At 42.8% G+C, this 17963-nt stretch overlaps 1 non-coding gene and 1 pseudogene across 2 annotated transcripts, besides 4 other annotated features; one reads left to right on the top strand and one right to left on the bottom strand.

The window, feature by feature from the left end:
• Positions 46-145: an enhancer, noted in NCBI's record as "active region_24349". NCBI's record gives its function as "activates an Ori minimal core promoter by ATAC-STARR-seq in GM12878 lymphoblastoid cells {active_cell/tissue: GM12878}" and the evidence as "EXISTENCE:reporter gene assay evidence [ECO:0000049][PMID:35858748]".
• Positions 6120-6239: an enhancer, noted in NCBI's record as "active region_24348". NCBI's record gives its function as "activates an Ori minimal core promoter by ATAC-STARR-seq in GM12878 lymphoblastoid cells {active_cell/tissue: GM12878}" and the evidence as "EXISTENCE:reporter gene assay evidence [ECO:0000049][PMID:35858748]".
• Positions 6296-9887, top strand: TOB2P1 (transducer of ERBB2, 2 pseudogene 1; annotated as a pseudogene). The gene has a single exon (NR_002936.2). The product of NR_002936.2 is annotated as a transducer of ERBB2, 2 pseudogene 1 (transcript).
• Positions 8048-8241: a silencer, noted in NCBI's record as "fragment chr6:28184762-28184955 (GRCh37/hg19 assembly coordinates)". NCBI's record gives its function as "represses an EF-1alpha promoter that drives an FKBP-Casp9 reporter gene in an ReSE screen in K562 erythroleukemia cells {active_cell/tissue: K562}" and the evidence as "EXISTENCE:reporter gene assay evidence [ECO:0000049][PMID:32094911]".
• Positions 11612-12288: an enhancer, noted in NCBI's record as "OCT4-NANOG hESC enhancer chr6:28180715-28181391 (GRCh37/hg19 assembly coordinates)". NCBI's record gives its function as "activates a minimal SCP1, AML or CMV promoter by ChIP-STARR-seq in naive H9 embryonic stem cells {active_cell/tissue: H9 hESC(naive)}" and the evidence as "EXISTENCE:reporter gene assay evidence [ECO:0000049][PMID:30033119]".
• TRS-GCT5-1 (tRNA-Ser (anticodon GCT) 5-1) lies at positions 12107-12188 on the bottom strand. Its single transcript has one exon. It is a non-coding gene; the product is annotated as a tRNA-Ser (tRNA).

The raw sequence follows: 17963 nt of genomic DNA, 5'->3' as shown, positions 1-17963 counted from the left end.
TAGGATTCCATGTCTCGATGTCCGGCGTTCACCTTGCTTCGGACTCAACCCCCAATTTCCTGGCGTCCAGTTCTTTTTCAGCAGTGAATCACATAATCAGAATGTCATACGTGTGTGGGCCGCACACAGGTTTTAAACGGAAAACGTTGATGAAGCATAGACCGTTAACTATTGAAAATGATGATTTTTAAAAGCATTTTTAAAATTAATACATTATTTATGGTTTAAAAACCCTCAGACAATACCAAAATTAATAAAGTAAAATGTCAAACCCCACCTACCCCTCCTTAGTCCCACTCCCCGAGGCAGCCACTGTCACCGTTAGCCTGGAATTTGTATATCATTGTGATCCTCTCTCACACACACAATGGCATTATTTTATATTTAGCCTTTTCTCCCCCGCTTATTTTAACGTTTTCACTTCATGTATCCTAAAAAGCTTTACTCATCATGTAAGTCTAACTTATTGTATGGGTGCATAACAGTCCATAAAGCAATTTATTTGTCCAGGCCCCTATGTATTCTTTATTTAGGCATCTGCCTGCGTGCTTGCCTTCTTTCCTCCCTCCCTTCCTCTTTTCCTACCTTCCTCCCTCCCTTCCTGCCTTTCTCCCATCCTCCTTTCCTTTTCTTTCTTTCTTGTTTTTGTTTTTTGTTGTTTTTTTTTTTTGCTGTAAAAGTTTTCTGGAGTTTTAGTAATAATAATACAAAATCAAACCAAAACCAATTAAATAAATTTGTCACCCAGGCTGGAGTGCAGTGGCACCATCATAGCTCACTGCAGACTGCAACTCCTGGCTCAAGCAATCCTGCCTCAGCCTCCTGAGTAGCTGGGACTACAGTCACATACCACCATGCCCAGCATTTTTTTTGGGGGAGGGGGGTAGAGACCAGGGTCTCGCTTTGTTGGCCAGGCTGGTCTCTAACTCCTGACCTCAAGTGATCCTCCCACCTCCGCCTGGCAAAGTGCTGGTACAGGCATGAGCCACCATGCCCAGCCTTAAATAAATTTTATTGGTACAAAAGAGCGTAATTGTAGGTACTGTTAGTCATTCATCAGTTTTACTATGCCAACCAGAATGATGGTGTCACGTAGATTAAACTATATTCTGTTTGTTTTAACAGAATCTTATCATTTATTTTATTAAAGCAGTAAGAAAGTATCTTGTGTGTTAATGGAGGCTCCATGATCTGTTTTAACTCCAAAACGGTAGTAGCTCGGAAAATTTCTTTATTATTTTCCTCAACCTAGCCTTCTGAGGGCATTAAATAAACCCAAGCTTTATGCTTTACTTCTTTTTCTTTCAAATATCCAATAAGTATATAATCAATAAGAGCACTAACATGCAGAAAATTTGCTCAAAAATCCTCATCACTTTTTCCACCATACCATGTTCACTTGCAAATCCCTCATTACAAACTTTCCTAACAAACTATGAAATGAGAGTAAATGCTCAATTTCTCTTGGACTTGAATAGACTGTTTAAATATGTTATTCTTTTCCATTTTGTATGACCATCTGTGACAAGTAAATGCAATTTAATATTTGTATGAAACTTCTTAAATGTCTCACTGGCAGTTGGTTAGGGTCTCTCACTGGTTTATATGTGCTTGCTAAGTGGGTCAACTATAGGGCTCAGGCAGGCTCCAGCCCAGAGTCAAGTGGGCAGCACGTTGGACTTCACAATGGTTAGCCCTGAGAGAGACTGGCTTTCATTTGTCTGTTTCCGGGAAGATTCCACTATAGCAGTACTTTGATGAGTATCCTGGGACAGAAGGGATTATTTTTAACATATAACTGGGAATCCGTACTGAATATTGAAAATGCCACACCAACTCAAAGACAAGAAATACTGACTGCAAAATCAACCAAAAAGGTTAAGGATTACCTGAATCTAGAAGCAGGCATATTGGGATACTAACTCGGCTGTGGGTTATGCCATAAGCTAAAAAAATTAAGATGAAATAAAACAAAAAGAAAGAAGACAGAAAGAAAGAAAGAAAGACAAAGCAAGCAAGAAGGAAGGAAGGAAGGAAAGAAAGAGAAAGAATGAAAGAAAGAAAAAAGAAAGAAAGAAGGAAAGAAAAGAAAGAAAGAGAGAGAAAGAAAGGAAAAGAGGGAGACAGGGAAAAAGGAAGGAAGGAAGGACTTGGAGGATTGGTGACAAAGAGATTATTGATGGAACTAGCTCGTATGTGGATAGATCTCTTAGAATGGATATCAAATGTACAAATATTTGTGTCCTGTATGAATCTTCATTAACCCACTGTGTCAGAGGGTTTCAGTAAGCAAGTGAACAAGATGATGGTGAAACAGAACATGGACTCCTCCTCTTCATAGCCTACTGGGATCCCTCCTTAAGCATGAAAATAAAGGAAAAATTGTGAGTCCCTTCAAGGGAAATTCCAGGCACCCTGCAACCAGCAACTAGGGAAATAAATTAATAACCTGCTAAGCAAGATGATAATAGGCCGGGCGCGGTGGCTCACGCCTGTAATCCCAGCACTTTGGGAGGCCGAGGCGGGTGGATCATGAGGTCAGGAGATCGAGACCATCCTGGCTAACAAGGTGAAACCCCGTCTCTACTAAAAATACAAAAAATTAGCCGGGCGCGGTGGCGGGCGCCTGTAGTCCCAGCTACTCGGGAGGCTGAGGCAGGAGAATGGCGTGAACCCGGGAAGCGGAGCTTGCAGTGAGCCGAGATTGCGCCACTGCAGTCCGCAGTCCGACCTGGGCGACAGAGCGAGACTCCGTCTCAAAAAAAAAAAAAAAAAAAAAAAAAAAAAAAAAAAAAAAGATGATAATAATAGCATAAACAATAGTCACCCAAGTGAGTCAGAGTCATGAGATGTTTGTTTCCTTATAGAAACTAAAGATAACATTTGACATATGTCCTTGAGTTGAGTTGTTTTTCAGAAACCAGGACCCCCACCAGATGGAAAATGTTGATCACTGTCATATAGACCTTGACAGACAGGAATCAGAAGATGGATAAGCAAGTTCTAGAAATTTTCCAGCCTTTAGCTCACATTGGAGAACCCCCTCATCCATGCCTTAAAAACTCTTGCTTGTAAGCCATCTTACAAAGAGTTCAGATCTTAAGTGTTAGTGGCCCAATAACCTTGCTTGGTGCTCTACAATAAATGCCTTACTTTCTCTCACTGCAAATCCTAGTGTCAATGTTTGACTTTGCTGCACTGGAGAAGCAGACCCAAGTTTTGTTGCTTAACAATCTGCTCTATGGGTATCAGCAACTCTTTTTTCAGCTATCTCAGCATTTGCTCAAGAAACTTTTGAACATAGTGACCATGGCTGCCATGATGAAGGCTGTACATAGGCTCAGAAAACAAGACAAAAGCTTTTCTGTTGAAATCCAATTTGCAAGAGCCAAAACCAATCCTAATCCCTAGAAATGATGTAATATCACAGTGGAAACAGCCAGCCACCTGATGGTAAATTGATTACATTCAACTCTTTCCATGATGGAGAGGACAAAACTTTTCTTCAAAGCAGTAGACATTTTGGGATTTGGATTGGCTTTTCATCCCTACCATGCTCTGTCAGTACTGACTTGTTGAAAGCCCCACTTACACCAGCCTCAACTTAGGTGGGTATTAAAATAAAATGATTTGGTCTTTTCCTTTTTTTTTTTTTTTTTTTTTGAGACAGTTCAACTTGTTCTTGTAAATCCTTTCCTGTCCCTTAATGATGCCTGGAGCAGCTCCCATAGCTTTCTGGCAATTTTAAGTATTAAAGGTCTTATTCAGCTTATTTTTAATTTTAAATTTTATTGCTTATTGAATAAGTTACATAGCCAAGGATTCAAAATATAAGAGGTACAAAAGGGCATACACTGAAAAATCTCTGTGATATTTTAAATTTTGTTATGTGTGATAATGATATTGTAGTTCTGCAGGAAAGTGTTCTTACTTTTTAGAGATGGGTACTGAAATATTCAAAGATGGTATGCCATGATGTCTATAATTTAATTTAAAATACTTCAGCAGAGAGAAAGGCGGGGAGTTAAATATGACAAAATGTGAACAATTATAAAATCTAAACGATAAGTATATAGATGTTCATTACATGTTATGTAACATAAACTAGAAATAAAATCCAATCCCCAACCCAACCCTGGCCAACTAAACAGACCCCTTGTGGCAAAAGTGATACCAGAAAAAACTTAAAAACTGAGTTCCCAGCCCTGACAGAATGAGAGCTCAGACACGACTCATTATACCCTCCTCTTTTGTGTGGTTTAGACACAACTGACCAGCATTAAAGTTAAAGTAGAGATCATAAGACTGATAGAATAGGCTCTTTGTGGCAATAAGATACCAAATTATAAGCAGGATCTAAGTCCATGCCAAGGAAGGTTTAAGTCACGCTTCCTTTCATTTAAAGAAGAAACTATGTTTTAACTGCCACAAGGTTTTCCTTTTTCTCTAGCAGCTAAACAAGCACTGCCCCGAGATAAGAAATATTCAAACAATTTGCAGCTCCACTAGATGCTGACAAACTGTACCCCTGTTCCACTAACTGTAACTATAGCTTTGACTGAACGTGAGACTGATTTTAGTAACTTTCTCCTGATAAGACCAACCATGGACTCATTCTAGCCCTTTTACAGAGATTGTGCACTTCTGTGCTCTCATGTCCTAAAGTGACCATTTGACGTATAGAGCCTAGTTGTAATACATGCAAATGTTAAGTCTCTACTTCAAAGTGAACATGTAACATGCACGTTTGTTCAATGTGCATGTGTCAGGACCCCTTCCTGAATATTCATAGCTCCTTCAGTAACCTGTTGAATATGTATGTTTGGTCAACTCATTCAGCATAAAGCTTCTACCTCAACCCCTCCTCCTTCAAAGTGCCTGTCTCTGGATGTGGCCAGAGGAAGGCTTCCCAGCCTGTAGTCTGGCCACCTTGCAGGCTGTAACCCTTAAGAAGAAATAAAGTCTTTTCTCTCTTTTTCTAAATTTGTATCTTGTGATATTTTCCTTAAGTTAAAAATACATAAACCTTTGGGAGCAGATGTGTTTCCAAATTCAGGTTTTTGTTTTTTTTTTATTTTAGAAAGATAATGTGCATACACTGTACATTATGTAACTTCCAGCAGAGTTTCAGAGCATATCAAACACCTCAATATTTCTGCTTTGAGATTTATGATTAGTCACTTTAAATGAGTTAAATAAAGGCTATGAAGAAGTTCAGGTTTTCCCCTCAGATAGATTGTAGTGCCAAATTTATGGAGGAAAGATTTGGAGTTTTTAGAATTTTATGGATTTTAGAACTGTGATTAAGGGATCCTGGACATGTACTAGTCTATTTTCTGTGTTTTTTGCATATTTAAACATCTTCAAAATAAAAATTTGTTAAATAGAAATATACAACTTATTCCTACCACTAGTCACCTAATTTCATCCACTAGAAACAGCCAAAGGTATTGATTTCTTTTTTTTTCTTCTAGACAGGATCTCTCTCTGTCGCTGAGGCTGAAGTGCTGTCACCAAGGCTGGAGTGCAGTGGCACGATCTCAGCTCACTGAAACCTCCGCCTGTCAGACTCAAGAGATTCTCCCACCTCAGGCCCCCAGGTAGCTGGGGACCACAGGCATGTGCCACCATGCCTGAAGAATTTTTGTATTTTTAGTAGAGACGGGGTTTTACCATGTTGCCCAGGCTGGTCTCAAACTCCTGAACTCAAGTGATCTGCCTGCCTCCTCATCCCAAAGTGCTAGGATTCCAGGTGTCAGCCACCATGCCCGGCCTTCATTTCTTATACAGCCTTTCAGAGATATTTTAGGTATGTAGAAGCAAATATTTATATATAATTTTGCCCTGGGATTTTACAGAAATAGTAGAAAATTTTCCTATAGCCATACATGTAGAGCTGCAGCTCTGTTTTGACAGCTGCATACTATTTCATTATGCACCAGTCATTTATTGATAAGCAATTAAGCTATTAATATTTCCTATCACTTTCCATTTATAAACAATGCTGAGCTTCAGACACGTATTATCTTACATATGTGTGAGTCTGTCTCTAGGATAAATTCCTAGAAGTAGAATTCCCGTGTCAAAGAATATGCACATTTAAAAAATGTATAGACTTCGGGCCGGGGCGCGGGAAGGTGCGGGTCGTCGGCGGAGAGAAGCCAGCAGCTCGAGAGACGCAGGGCCAGGAGGACAGGACCGTCCCGCGGTCACAGCCCGGTCCTTCTTCCGCTCCCCCCGCCCCCCCCACGGGCCACCTTCCGGTCCGTTCTCCCCGCCCGGTCGCCGCCCGCCAGCCCTTCGTCCCCCAGCCGCCCAACCTCCTAAGCGCTGAAGGAATTATTTTTGGGAGTCATGACCATAGCTGCCTGCTTCCCCCAACCCTCGACGACGAAAAGGACTTCGGCCCCCGGCCGGGCGGCTCCGGGGGAAAAAAGAGAGAGCGACCGCCGCCCCGCGCTCAGGGCCACTCTAGAGGGAGAAGCTGCCCCGAGGCTGGCAGAGCGCCCAGCCGCGGTGGAGACCGGAAGCCTTCTGGAGCCCAAGGCTGTGCACGTCCCCTGTGCTGATTCTCTGCCTAGGAAAGGACCATGCAGCTGGAGATCAAAGTAGCCCTGAACTTCATCATCTTCTACTTGTACAACAAGCTGCTCTGGCGCCTCTGAAAAAGAAATAAGAAGCCCACTGGTACCCTGACAAACCACTGAAGGGCTCTGGCTTCCACACCGAGGAGATGGTGGACCCCGTTGGGGAGCTGGCCGCTAAGCGAAGTGGCCTGACAGTGGAAGATGTGCGGGCCAATGTGCCTGAGGAGCTGAGCATATGGATTGACCCCTTCGGGGTGTCCTACCAGATTGGTGAGAAGGGAGCAGTGAAAGTGCTGTACCTGGATGACAGTGACGGCTGTGGGGCCCCGGAGCTGGACATGAAGATCAAGAGCAGTTTCACTCCTGACGACCAGATGCTCTTTCTCCTCGGAAGCCAGGACAGCTCCTTGTCCAACTCCCCGTCGCTATGCTTTGCCCATCACCCAGCCCCACCTTCATCCTCTGCCTCGCCCAGCCCATCACCTTCACCATGGACTCCTTTGCTGCCACCAAATTAGGCTCCACTAAGATGAAGAAGAGGGGTGGGGCAACAAGTGGTAGGGGTGCAGCCAGCGGTGAAGCAGGTGGCCAGCAGCCAGTACAGCAGCCTCCACGGCCCGCTTCAACACCAACAGCTTGTTGAAACACAGGAGTCTTTCTCTGTCTGTGCATTCATTGAACTTCATCCCGGCCAACCGGCCTCTCAATCCCAGCTCTCGCCCCAAGGCCACGTACAGTCTCAAGTACAACAGTGGTGGCTTGCCCAGTTTCTTCCTTGATGGGGCCAATGGCCAGGGTAGTGACACCCGAGCCCTCTTTGGAGGCAGTGGGACTGTCACCTGCAACGCCAGCAGCTTCTACATGGTCTAGGTATTTGGAGGTGGTGCCACCGCCTCTTCCTGGAGAAGGCACCCTTCATGGAAGACCTCAGCTACAACCTGAACACCATGCAATATCCTAGTCAACCGTTCCAGTCCGTGGTGCTGGCCAACTGACCGTCTACCTGCCCTGGGGCCGGGAGCACCCAAGACCACAGAAAAGAGAAAGAAAAGGAAAGGCCAAAAAAAAAAAAAAAAAAAGAGGAAAAGGAAAATGTACAAAAAGATTTTCTATTTTCTCACTCTCACTTCTAGAAAAAAAGATCTAGTGCAGGCACGGAATGGGAGGGGCTTCCAAAGCACCAAAATGTGTTTAACTAACCCCCCTACCACTTACAATTCGCCCATCGGCCTGTAATTTGGTTGGTTTGGGTTTTATATTTCTTTTTTCTTTCTTTCTTTTTTTAACATGTAGTTCTTTATATAACATCTTTAATTGGTGGCTTCCTTTGCTAAGAATGGGCAAAGGAGAGGCTGACCTGTGTCACTGCCTCTGTCGCCCAGCTATTCTCACACTCAAAGCCATCCAAACTTGGCAGGCCTTCTCAGGCCCTGTGACCGAAATAGACCTGACTCCAGCCCCCACTCCCTTTCAGGCTGGGCCACAGGGAGCTGCCAGTTGGCCACTTGACACCCACCCCCACCACACCCTAGAGCTGATGTCTGTGACTACAGGAAGGTTAGCACTCTATCTAGTTGAATTCCTGTCATCTCTGTCCTGAGGCCCTGCCTCACCATTCCCTCAAGGCCCAGACCATCATCAAGGCCCTGGCCACCCAGCCACTGATGCATATGGCCTTTTCTTTCTCTCATGCAGCCTCTTCTCCCTGGGGCAGAGGTTGTGGGGAGGGAGGTGGTGTGTGTGTGTGTGTGTGTGTGTGTGTGTGTGTGTGTGGTTTGCTGTCCAGTTTTAAAGGATTCCAAGCCATGTGAAACTTCCTCACTAGATGTGATTCTGGGTTGCGGCAAGTGCTTATTAATGAGTGAGGCTGGGGAATGGGCTGGGGGTATTAGCAGTCCTTTTGCAGTGTGTGTGGTGGGGTCACACCACTATGGCTAAGCCTAAGACACTCCCAGAGAGAAGTACTGCAGAAGGAACTGGTTTCCGGACTGCAGAGGGATCTGCATTTTTGTTTTTGACCACCCCCACCAAAAAAATAGGTTAGATCTGAAGGGCAAAGGGAATACCCAAGCCTCTGATGCCTATGAGAAGTCCCTGGACTTCGACCCTTCTGATGTGTGATGTTAGCCCCGTGGGGAGCTGCTCACCTGAGCACCTTTGGGGGTGAGAAGGGAGCAGGGAGGTAGGGTGGGATATTGGAGTCAGCATCTGTAGTGGGCAGCCCTGAGCCTGGAATAGATACTTTTTGGTCTTTTGGTTGTAGATGTTATTTGAGTACATTTATGCCCCTGGCTGATTGAGAGCTTCTCAGTACTTCTTGCCATCCCCCTCACTGCCCTGACCCAACCCCACTGGACCTTAATACAGTGAGGGGTGGTATCCTGGACAGGGACTCTGCACTCCCAGCTGTTTGGATCACAGAAGAGTGTTTGCCCCTCTGCCTTTGCCAGAAGAGGGTTTGTTTCTCCAACCCTACAAGGCCAGGCAGACGTGGACAGGAGCCAGGGGAGCAGGGTAATGAACTTTTTTTCCTTTGGCAAGTGGGGCGCTCCTCGCCTCTCTCTTTGCCCCATAGCCCGCTCACGGACGCCCGGCCTCACCAGGTAGTGTTGCTTGATTTGTATGCAAAATGTTGTTCTTCCTTTATCTGAAATTCAAATTTAATTGGGTATTTTGTATCTTATCTGGCAATCCTACCGCCAACCTGACTTCAGGCCGGAGGAGGAGAAATTGCGTTCCGGGTAACTTCCCACCCCATTGAGCCGGAGAACAGTTTCCTAAGTTTTGGGAAGAGTGAAAACCTGTCACCACGAAAAGAAAGGAAATCTCCTCCAATTGAAAACAAACAAACAAACAAAAAAACCCCAAAAGCTGTTACCAGGGGCTGGGAGGACAGGTAAAGCCAGATGCAAAGTTAACAGGAAACACTGTTTTCCAAGATCATGCAGCAGCCGTAAAATGTCGCAATGGTCCCCTCTTTGAGCAATTGCTGCCTTTTTACGAGTGCGCATACCCGCTTTGCCACACCCATCCATGTACTACTGGGGATACCGAAGATCACTCTCTCCTTGTGACAACGCCCAATCCCTAGCTAATCCCCACTACTCCTAACCCCACCTCAGAAACACCAAGCAATCCAGAACTGATCCTGCTTCTCTTAGAGATTCCTCAGAATCCTCGAATGGGAACCCAAACCTTACAAAAGACAGTTCTCTCCAGCCTCTTGTTGAACTGCATTTCTCCGTTACTCTGGAATATCCTGTCACTTCATCTATGTATTAAATCTGATTTTGCTTTGTTCCTGGTGGTCTTTGGCTACTGTCTTTAACACCACATTACTGCTCTGTGGCCCTCCGACAGTGCAGGAGTTAGAGGGATTAATCCTGGCAGGATAGACCCTCAGTTGATGTTGGAATGATGAGAGGAAGGTGGATCCTGAGAGAGAGAAGATTTTACCAAATCACACAGAATCTAGATTAACCATGTTTTAGAAGGGGAGGGGGAGGCAAAACAAAACTAGAGCAGCAGTGCCAAACTTTAGCATAAACCAGGATCACCTGGAGAGCTTTTTAAAGCACAAATTGCTGGACCCCAGACCTAGCGTTTTTTCCCAGGTGATAATGATGTTATTGTTCCAGAGACCACACATTTAAGAACCACTGAATTAGAGCAATCTCGTCGGCATAATAATGGTTTTTTGTTGTTGTTGTTGTTGTTTTGTTTTGTTTTGTTTTGAGACAGTATCTTGCTCTGTTGCCCAGGCTGGAGTGCAGTGGTGTGATCTTGGCTCACTGCAACTTCGCTCTCCGGGGTTCAAGAGATTCTCCTGCCTCAGCCTCCGGAGTAGCTGGGATTACAGGCGTGTGCCACTGCACCCAGCTAATTTTTGTATTTTTAGTAAAGACAGGTTTTAGCCATGTTAGCCAGGCTGGTCTCGAACTCCTGACCTCAGGTGATCCACCCGCCTCGGTCTCCCAAAGTGTTGGGATTACAGGCATAAGCCATCGCATCAGGCCAAAAGCTAATAATGCTTTGAAGCCAGTGATCCAATTTCAGACCTCTGACTTAGACAATTTAAAATTCTCATTCCCATTTAAAACAATCGAATGAGTCGTGCTCTCAAATCACACAAAGCTCAACACCATTAATCCCTAAAAATCCATTAAATATTGAATATTTATGAAGCCCAGTGTATAAACTGCCAGTAGTTACCCAGAAAATCTGTAATAAACCAAGGTCACTGAGTTTATGAGAATCCAGGATTCTCAATCACTTCCTCCTCACTGTGAGTACTTGAGCTTCCATTTAGATGATCTGGGACAACGCTAGTTGAAACAATAATCTCTCTTGTAAGGGCTGCATAAGCAGGTGTGGTCTGACCTCCTTTTCACTTTGTTGGGAGGGTAAGTCAACACAACTTCTATGGAAGAAATTTGACAGTATCTTACAAATGAATGTTACCCAGGACACAGTATATCTACTCCTAGACATTTATATTGTAAATATAGACACTCACATAAAATGCTATATTCAAAATTATATATATATGTATATATCTTCAGACACAGGTATGTTTACCTCTTTTTACAAGTAGCACCTATACATATTGTCTTGCATCATGCTTTTTTCACTTAAGAGTATATCTTTGAGAGATTAGTAGTCTTATATATGCAAGTCTTATAAATAATAGTCTTATATATGTTTCTGGAAGGATACATGAAAGCTAATAAGAGTGTCCTACTGATGGCAGTAGGTAATTAGTGGCAAAACTTTGCTATACAACTTTTCATATTTTTTGAATCATGTGAATGTAGTACTTATTTTCGAAATGAAAATAATTGAATAAACTGAATAAAATTATGTGTATTCCTTTTTTTCTCTCAAAAGATCAGCCAAGATGGAAGTTACAAATGGAAACTACATAATACTGACATTCTTCTTTCCTTTCTCAGGAGGAAATGCTTTAGTACTAACTAGAAATGTTCTATGGAATGTATTTGTAAGTTTTGCTATATCTCTAAGAGACACTCTCACTCTCCTTCCTTTTTCAAAGATGGAATCCTTAGGCAATAGTGACTGCTTTAAAAGTTAGCATTAAGATAATAAATGAAAATTTCAGTAGAGATATACAATTAGGCTGAAAATGCCTTAAGTAACCCATACGGTTCAATACCCATAATGTTGCATATGTAACTCTTTATGATTTTATAAGTACCTTTAAATTTTTCAGGCAATGTTTTTCTATAGCCCTCAATTAAATCTTCAATTGTTTCCTCAATGGGGAATCCCGCTAAGCAAAACTTGTGAAGGAATGAAAATTTGCATGAGAATGAAGCCTGAATCAAATAAATCAACTAACAAATTACATTCACAGCTAAGACAAGTGTTACTAAAGAAGCAGAGAGCAGGAAAGATCAGAGGGAATTATTGAAATGGCTGGTGAATACGGAATGAATTTGCCAAATAAAGTGCTTACCATATCATTTGTGATTCCTGGAACAAAAGGCTTGCTATGCAGCCGACGAGGATGGGATTCGAACCCACGTGTGCAGAGCACAATGGATTAGCAGTCCATCGCCTTAACCACTCGGCCACCTCGTCACACAAAGAATCAACAACTTGAATTTCTTCGTCTGTGTAGTGCTCCCAGTGAGTCTTGTAGAAACATGATCTAATCGTTTTTCCTGGTTTAATCCCCATAACCACAGTCTGAGTCAGGTGTCTTAATTAAGACACATTTCACAACCACCATAAAAATGACGACTGTCACTTAGAGTAGTGAAGTTACTTGGCAAATATCTAATAATAGGTTGAACCAGTGCCGGCATTCATTGGTAGACAAAAATCACCTGCTTTTTTGTTGACCCGGCTCCAGCTGGCCGCCCTGTATGCCCCTCGAGACACGCTGGGACCTTCGCCGGGTCCTTCTGCCACTTTATTCTGCATTCAAAGGGTTGATTTGCTTCCCGATCTAAACTTTGTCCTTAGATTCCTGTTTTCTGTGACGTACCAGAAACCTGACTGTAATTCCTTTTCATTTGCTTCTGTAATATGCCCGAGGGCCAGGAGATGCCCTCCTTTCTCTTTTGTTACTTTCTCTAGGAGTTGGTGTTGATCAGTCTATGATAAATCAGCAACAGGTGAGAACATGTTTTTTTACAAAAATTAGAGGCGCGCAGGCACCCCGATGGCACTCCTCTTGCTTTGGTCAGGACAGTGAAAGAAAGAAAGTCTTTTTGTGTTTAGCACAAGATTGGCTCAGTCCAGTTGCTACCGACACTGGGAAGGGCCTGTGGGGTGGGTAACCCCCTGGTGCGGGAGTCAGGATGCCTGGTCCTAATTGTGGCTCTTAACTAAGCCCACTCACTAAATCCAACCCAACTTGAGAAGCAGAACAGTAACCCCTAACGTCCCTTCCAGCTCTGACAACCTCAATTATAAAATGATCAGCAAGAAAAGAAGCCTGAGGCTGGGTGCGGGGGCTCACGCTTGTAATTCCAGCACTTTGGGAGGCCAAGACGGGTGGATTGTTTGAGCTCAGAATTTCGAGACCAGCCTGGGCAACATGGAGAAACCCTATCTCTACAAAAATTGCAAAAATCAGCCGGAAGTGGTGGCCCGCACCTGTGGTCCCAGCTACTCAGGAGGTTAAGGCGGAGGATCGCTGGAGCCCTGGGGGCGTCAAGGCTATACAGTGAGCCCTGATTGCCGCCATTGCACTCCAGCCTGGGCCACAGAATGAGACCCTGTCAAAAACAAAAACAAACAAACAAAAAAACAAACAAAAAAAACTGGAAGGAAGGAAGGAAGATTCTTACACTCGTTAGAGTTTGTGTGCTTTTTGATATTTGGTGCAGAATTTTGGAGGGGAAATTTTTCTTTTCTACCAGAAGAATGTTGGTGCTTTTTTTCCTCCCTGTGAAATGTCCTATCTCTGTTCTCAGCTTTGTTGGGAGAGGCTCTTTTTTATTCTCACACCTGTGTTAAACATTAAAACGACCCAATGTCCACCAAAGTGGAATACTTAGTTAAATAAATTATGATTAAGCAAAACATTAAAGTGGTATGTGATTATTAATAGGAATAATGCTGTTCTATACATAGTAGTTTATAAATATTTTCCCACTTTTTTTTTTTTTAAATGAAGTCTCGCTCTGTCGCCCAAGCTGCATGCAGTGGGGTGATCTCTGCTCACTGCAACCTCCACTTCCCGAGTTCAAGCGATGCTTCTGCCTCAGCCTCCCCAATAGCTGGGATTACAGGCACATGCCACTATGCCTGGCTAATTTTTGTATTTTTAGTAGAGACGGGGTTTTGCCATGTTGGCCAGGCTGGTCTCCAACTCCTGGCTTCAAGTGATCCGCCCCCCTCGGCCTCCCAAAGTGCTGGGATTACAGGCATGAGCCACTTTGCCCAGCCTATTTTCCCACTTCTAAGTTTTTTTTAAAAAAGGCAAGTTGCAGAACAGTATGTATAGTACGGTTGTTTGTTTTAGATGATAGAGAGTTTAGATATTTAATGTTGGTGAGGGCCATTTAGCTTCAGGCTCAATTTTAAGAAGGTTCTAAACATAGACTTTTCATATTATCTTTAAAGAAGTATTATGTATGTGTATGTATATCTGTGTATGTATTATACATACAACTACTGTGTATTTTTTAAGAGTTAAATTAAAGGTCTTCAATATTCTCAAATCTTATTTGGCATTTCTTTTTTTTTTATACACTGAAAATGAAGATGGCATGAACCTTTTGGACTTCTGGAAGGCTCTGATTGATATAAACATAAAAAACCTCCAGAAGGATGTATATTACTTGTTAATAGCTGGTATCTCTAACAGTGAGAATATGAAGCTTTTTAACTTTCTATATTAAAGGTTTTTTCAAGATTTTACTTTTTTCATAATGAGTACGTTACTTAGTAATTAATGTTTTTAAAGTAAAGATAAATTTAAATTATTCAAGACATAAGAGTGAACAGTCAAACACAGCTGAGAAATAAAGTATAATATTAAGAAACGACCATTAGATTTACCAATGGAACGATTTTATGTAGGACAAGATGGAGTTTTTTCCTAACATCTTGTAGTTCAAGCTGGCAGACACTACCTATAAAGGATCTGATTCCACAGACTGCTTCAGGACAGTGGAAACCCTTCTTTTAATCGTGTTCTCTGGCATAGTGATTCTAACTGCTATTTTTTCACCAGGTCCTGCCTGGGCTTTCTTCCTACCAGCTCCCAGCCCTGTTTGATTTCTTTGAAAGATCATTCTAGCTGCTCTGGAGAGACCAGGTGGCCAGAAATAGCTGTGAGCAGACCAGTTGGGAAGCCAGGGCAGCAGCTGTCACGAGAGGTGGTGGTGGCTCAGACTAGGAGAGTGGCAATAGGAATGGAGAGAGGTGGATGGGTCCAAGATATATGTTGGAGATAAAATGGTGGACACACACTGTGAGTGATGAGTAGGGTGAACAATTCATCCTAGTTTGCTGGGAACTTTTCTGTTTCAGCACAGAAAGTTCCATGTCTCTGAGAGACCCCCCAGTCCCAGGCAAACCTAAACAGTTGGTGACAGGGAAGGACCAATAATGAGTTTCCTGCTTCTCGCTTGAGTAGTGGGGCAAGTGGAAGTAGTGTTTATTAAAACTGGGAAGATTGAGGAAGTGGTAGGTATTGTGGAAATGACAATTTAACTTTTACATGTTAAGACTCGTCATAAACCAACCTATGCAGGCCGTCTGCAATAGAATGTTTTTTCCTTCGTCTTTGAGTCAGGAGAAGAATTTGTTATTTCAAAGGACTATAGGAAATATGAGATTTATATCCATCGTGGGGAACTCTCCTTATTCAAGATTTTAACTACAAATGATTAATATTCTGGAATTTCTATTTCTTGGAGTAAATCTAATTTACAGGAAATCATTTGGTGATTCCTTGGCTTATTTCCCATTTTAAATAACTATTCTGTATTTTGTCCATTTTTCTAAATACTGCAAGGGTAAGTTGTACATATTTAGTTAGTCAAAAGAATAAAAAACTTAAAAACAAAATATCTCCAATCTTGCAAAACTTTTGACAGCTAATTTATTCGTATCCACACCAACTGGATTAAAAATAATTTATCAGTAGATGTCTTCTTAGCAAAGGTGACAGGTGAGCCTTGACTGCTAAAGATCCTAGGTGCAAACCTCTGAAAAGAGAGTATGTTTTCACCAAAGGAATATTCTGGGTTAATTATAAAGAGCACTATGTGAAATCCAGGGAAAGGAAATTTTTAGGAGACAAGTGCAAGGCATTCAATTAGAGCAGAGAGATGAGGCAAATACCACACTCTGTCAAAGACATTATATTTAGGTGACTCTGTTCTTGAACAATATTGTTGATTATGTTCAAATTAAATAGAGATAAGGTCAGTATTTAACACTGGCCCTTAGAAGGAAAATTATCTTGCTGCCCATATAAGCAATAAGCAAAATTCTGCCCTAGCAACTTTGTGCTATGAAGTAATTCACCTAATCCTCTAAGTCCATTCTAAGAAAATTAACACACTGGTCAAAATAGGAAAAACAAAGAAATCTGAGAAAGCCATTTTAAAAATGAGACATTCCCAGCAAATAAGCAGTAAGATATAGTGTTTTAATATATGTTTAAAAATGCTATTTCTCAAAATAAAAACAAAAGAAAAAAGCTCTCACTCTTACATAGTGAAGTTTTTATGAATAAAATAATATGCTTGCTTTAAAATGCAGAAAGACAAAGTTTGAAATATATGTTAAAAATATTGACAAAATATTGTTAATTTTGAGGCTGGGTGATGGATATACGAGGCTACATCATATCATTTTTTCCCTTTTTTTAATATTTTACATTTCCATAGTAAAAAGTTATAATATGTTTAACACCTTTTTTTCGTTGTATAAGTATCCCAAATGTTGTAGTCTCTGCACGGAAGGAATTAATAAAATGGTCAGGGAGAGTGTCAGTAGATAAGCAAATACACTATGCTGATAAAAGCAAAGGCTGAGTGAGGCTTAATACACTATTTGTCGGAAATTCCTTAAAAAAAAAAACCTTAAAAAAAAAACAAAAAACGTAGACGAGACTAGAGAATTGAAGAAAAATCACTGTTCATGGGATTCAAACCTGTGCGGAAAGTGCTCACTGGTCTGAAGGCTCTGGGTGGTTGCGACCCCATGCTCTAAGCTGGGGCTTTATCTGCGGCGAAGCGCAGGAGGTACAACTTGGCGACGCCACGAAACCTAACATGCTCCACAAGGTCTTGCAGGGGTAGCGGCCGGGGTTTGGGGAGGGACGTCTCTGTAGGTTTACTTTATTCCTGGCTTCTGTCTTCCAAGATCCCTCACACCTTAACAACAACAATAATATTGGCAAACACCTAAATAGCGCGGACTCCGGCTAGCGCTCTCGCAAGCGCTTTCCATGCATTAATTCATAGAATCCCAGAATCACCCTTAGAAGGTGCCACCCAGGGTCACGCGGCAAAGAGTGGCCGAGCTGAGGCTTTCCCCGGGTCTGTTTCCACGGCCCATGCTCTTAACCATCACGCTGTATTTCAGAAGCGAGAATCTTAAATTATTTTTCCCCAAAGCGCAATGGAGACGCAATCGAGTTTGAGTGGTTTGTGTGAGACTGGGGGGTGGGGTGGGGTGTGAAACCCGTGGTGTCAAAAAATCAAAAGCGGAGAACAAAGCCTTCTGAAGACCAGAAGCCACTTTTAGGACCCAGTTTCCCAAATATCAACCCCAAAGCTGTAAAACGAAGTTTGCTCAGTGAGCAGTTAAGGAGCTCTCTCGATATCTCCGGTGGCTTTCGAATGACGCTACTCCGAGCCGCGGCTCGCTCCGAGGCGGGAAGTTGGGTTTACAATCAGTTCTACGCGCTGCCCCGCGGCCCTTCCCCTGGCCACAACCTCTGCATCCACCCAAATCAGCTGCCCCTGTTTGCAGCCACGAGGGAGTCGGGAACCAAGTCCGGACCACCGTCTCCTAGAGAATTACATGTCCCTGCACGCACGGAGAATAAAGCCAGGAACGATAAGTGGTAAATTATAGGGAATTTGGGCGGTGGTGACATAGTTAACGCCATTCTCGCCCTGCTGGGACGCGCACTTTGCGTTTCTGAAATTCTCAGTCTATATGGTGTGATATCCCAGGAAAGCTGCCCGAGTCCTCCCATTTGTTGAGTACCCTTCGATTCATTCTGTGGGTAAATCAACTGTTAGTAGAGGAAATTGAAATTGTTTACATATTCAAAGCCGTGAGTGCGGGGGCGGGACGTTAGGGTAGATGGTGACCAGGAGGAATTTCCAACATTTTCCCGTCTTAAGATCTGGAGCCCAGCAGGGCCATAATTTTCCA

This window comes from Homo sapiens, chromosome 6 (assembly GCF_000001405.40).
Source record: "Homo sapiens chromosome 6, GRCh38.p14 Primary Assembly".
NCBI lineage: Eukaryota > Metazoa > Chordata > Mammalia > Primates > Hominidae > Homo > Homo sapiens.
The sequence above is the reverse complement of the archived record's forward strand: the minus strand, read 5'-3'. Positions and strand labels throughout refer to the sequence as shown.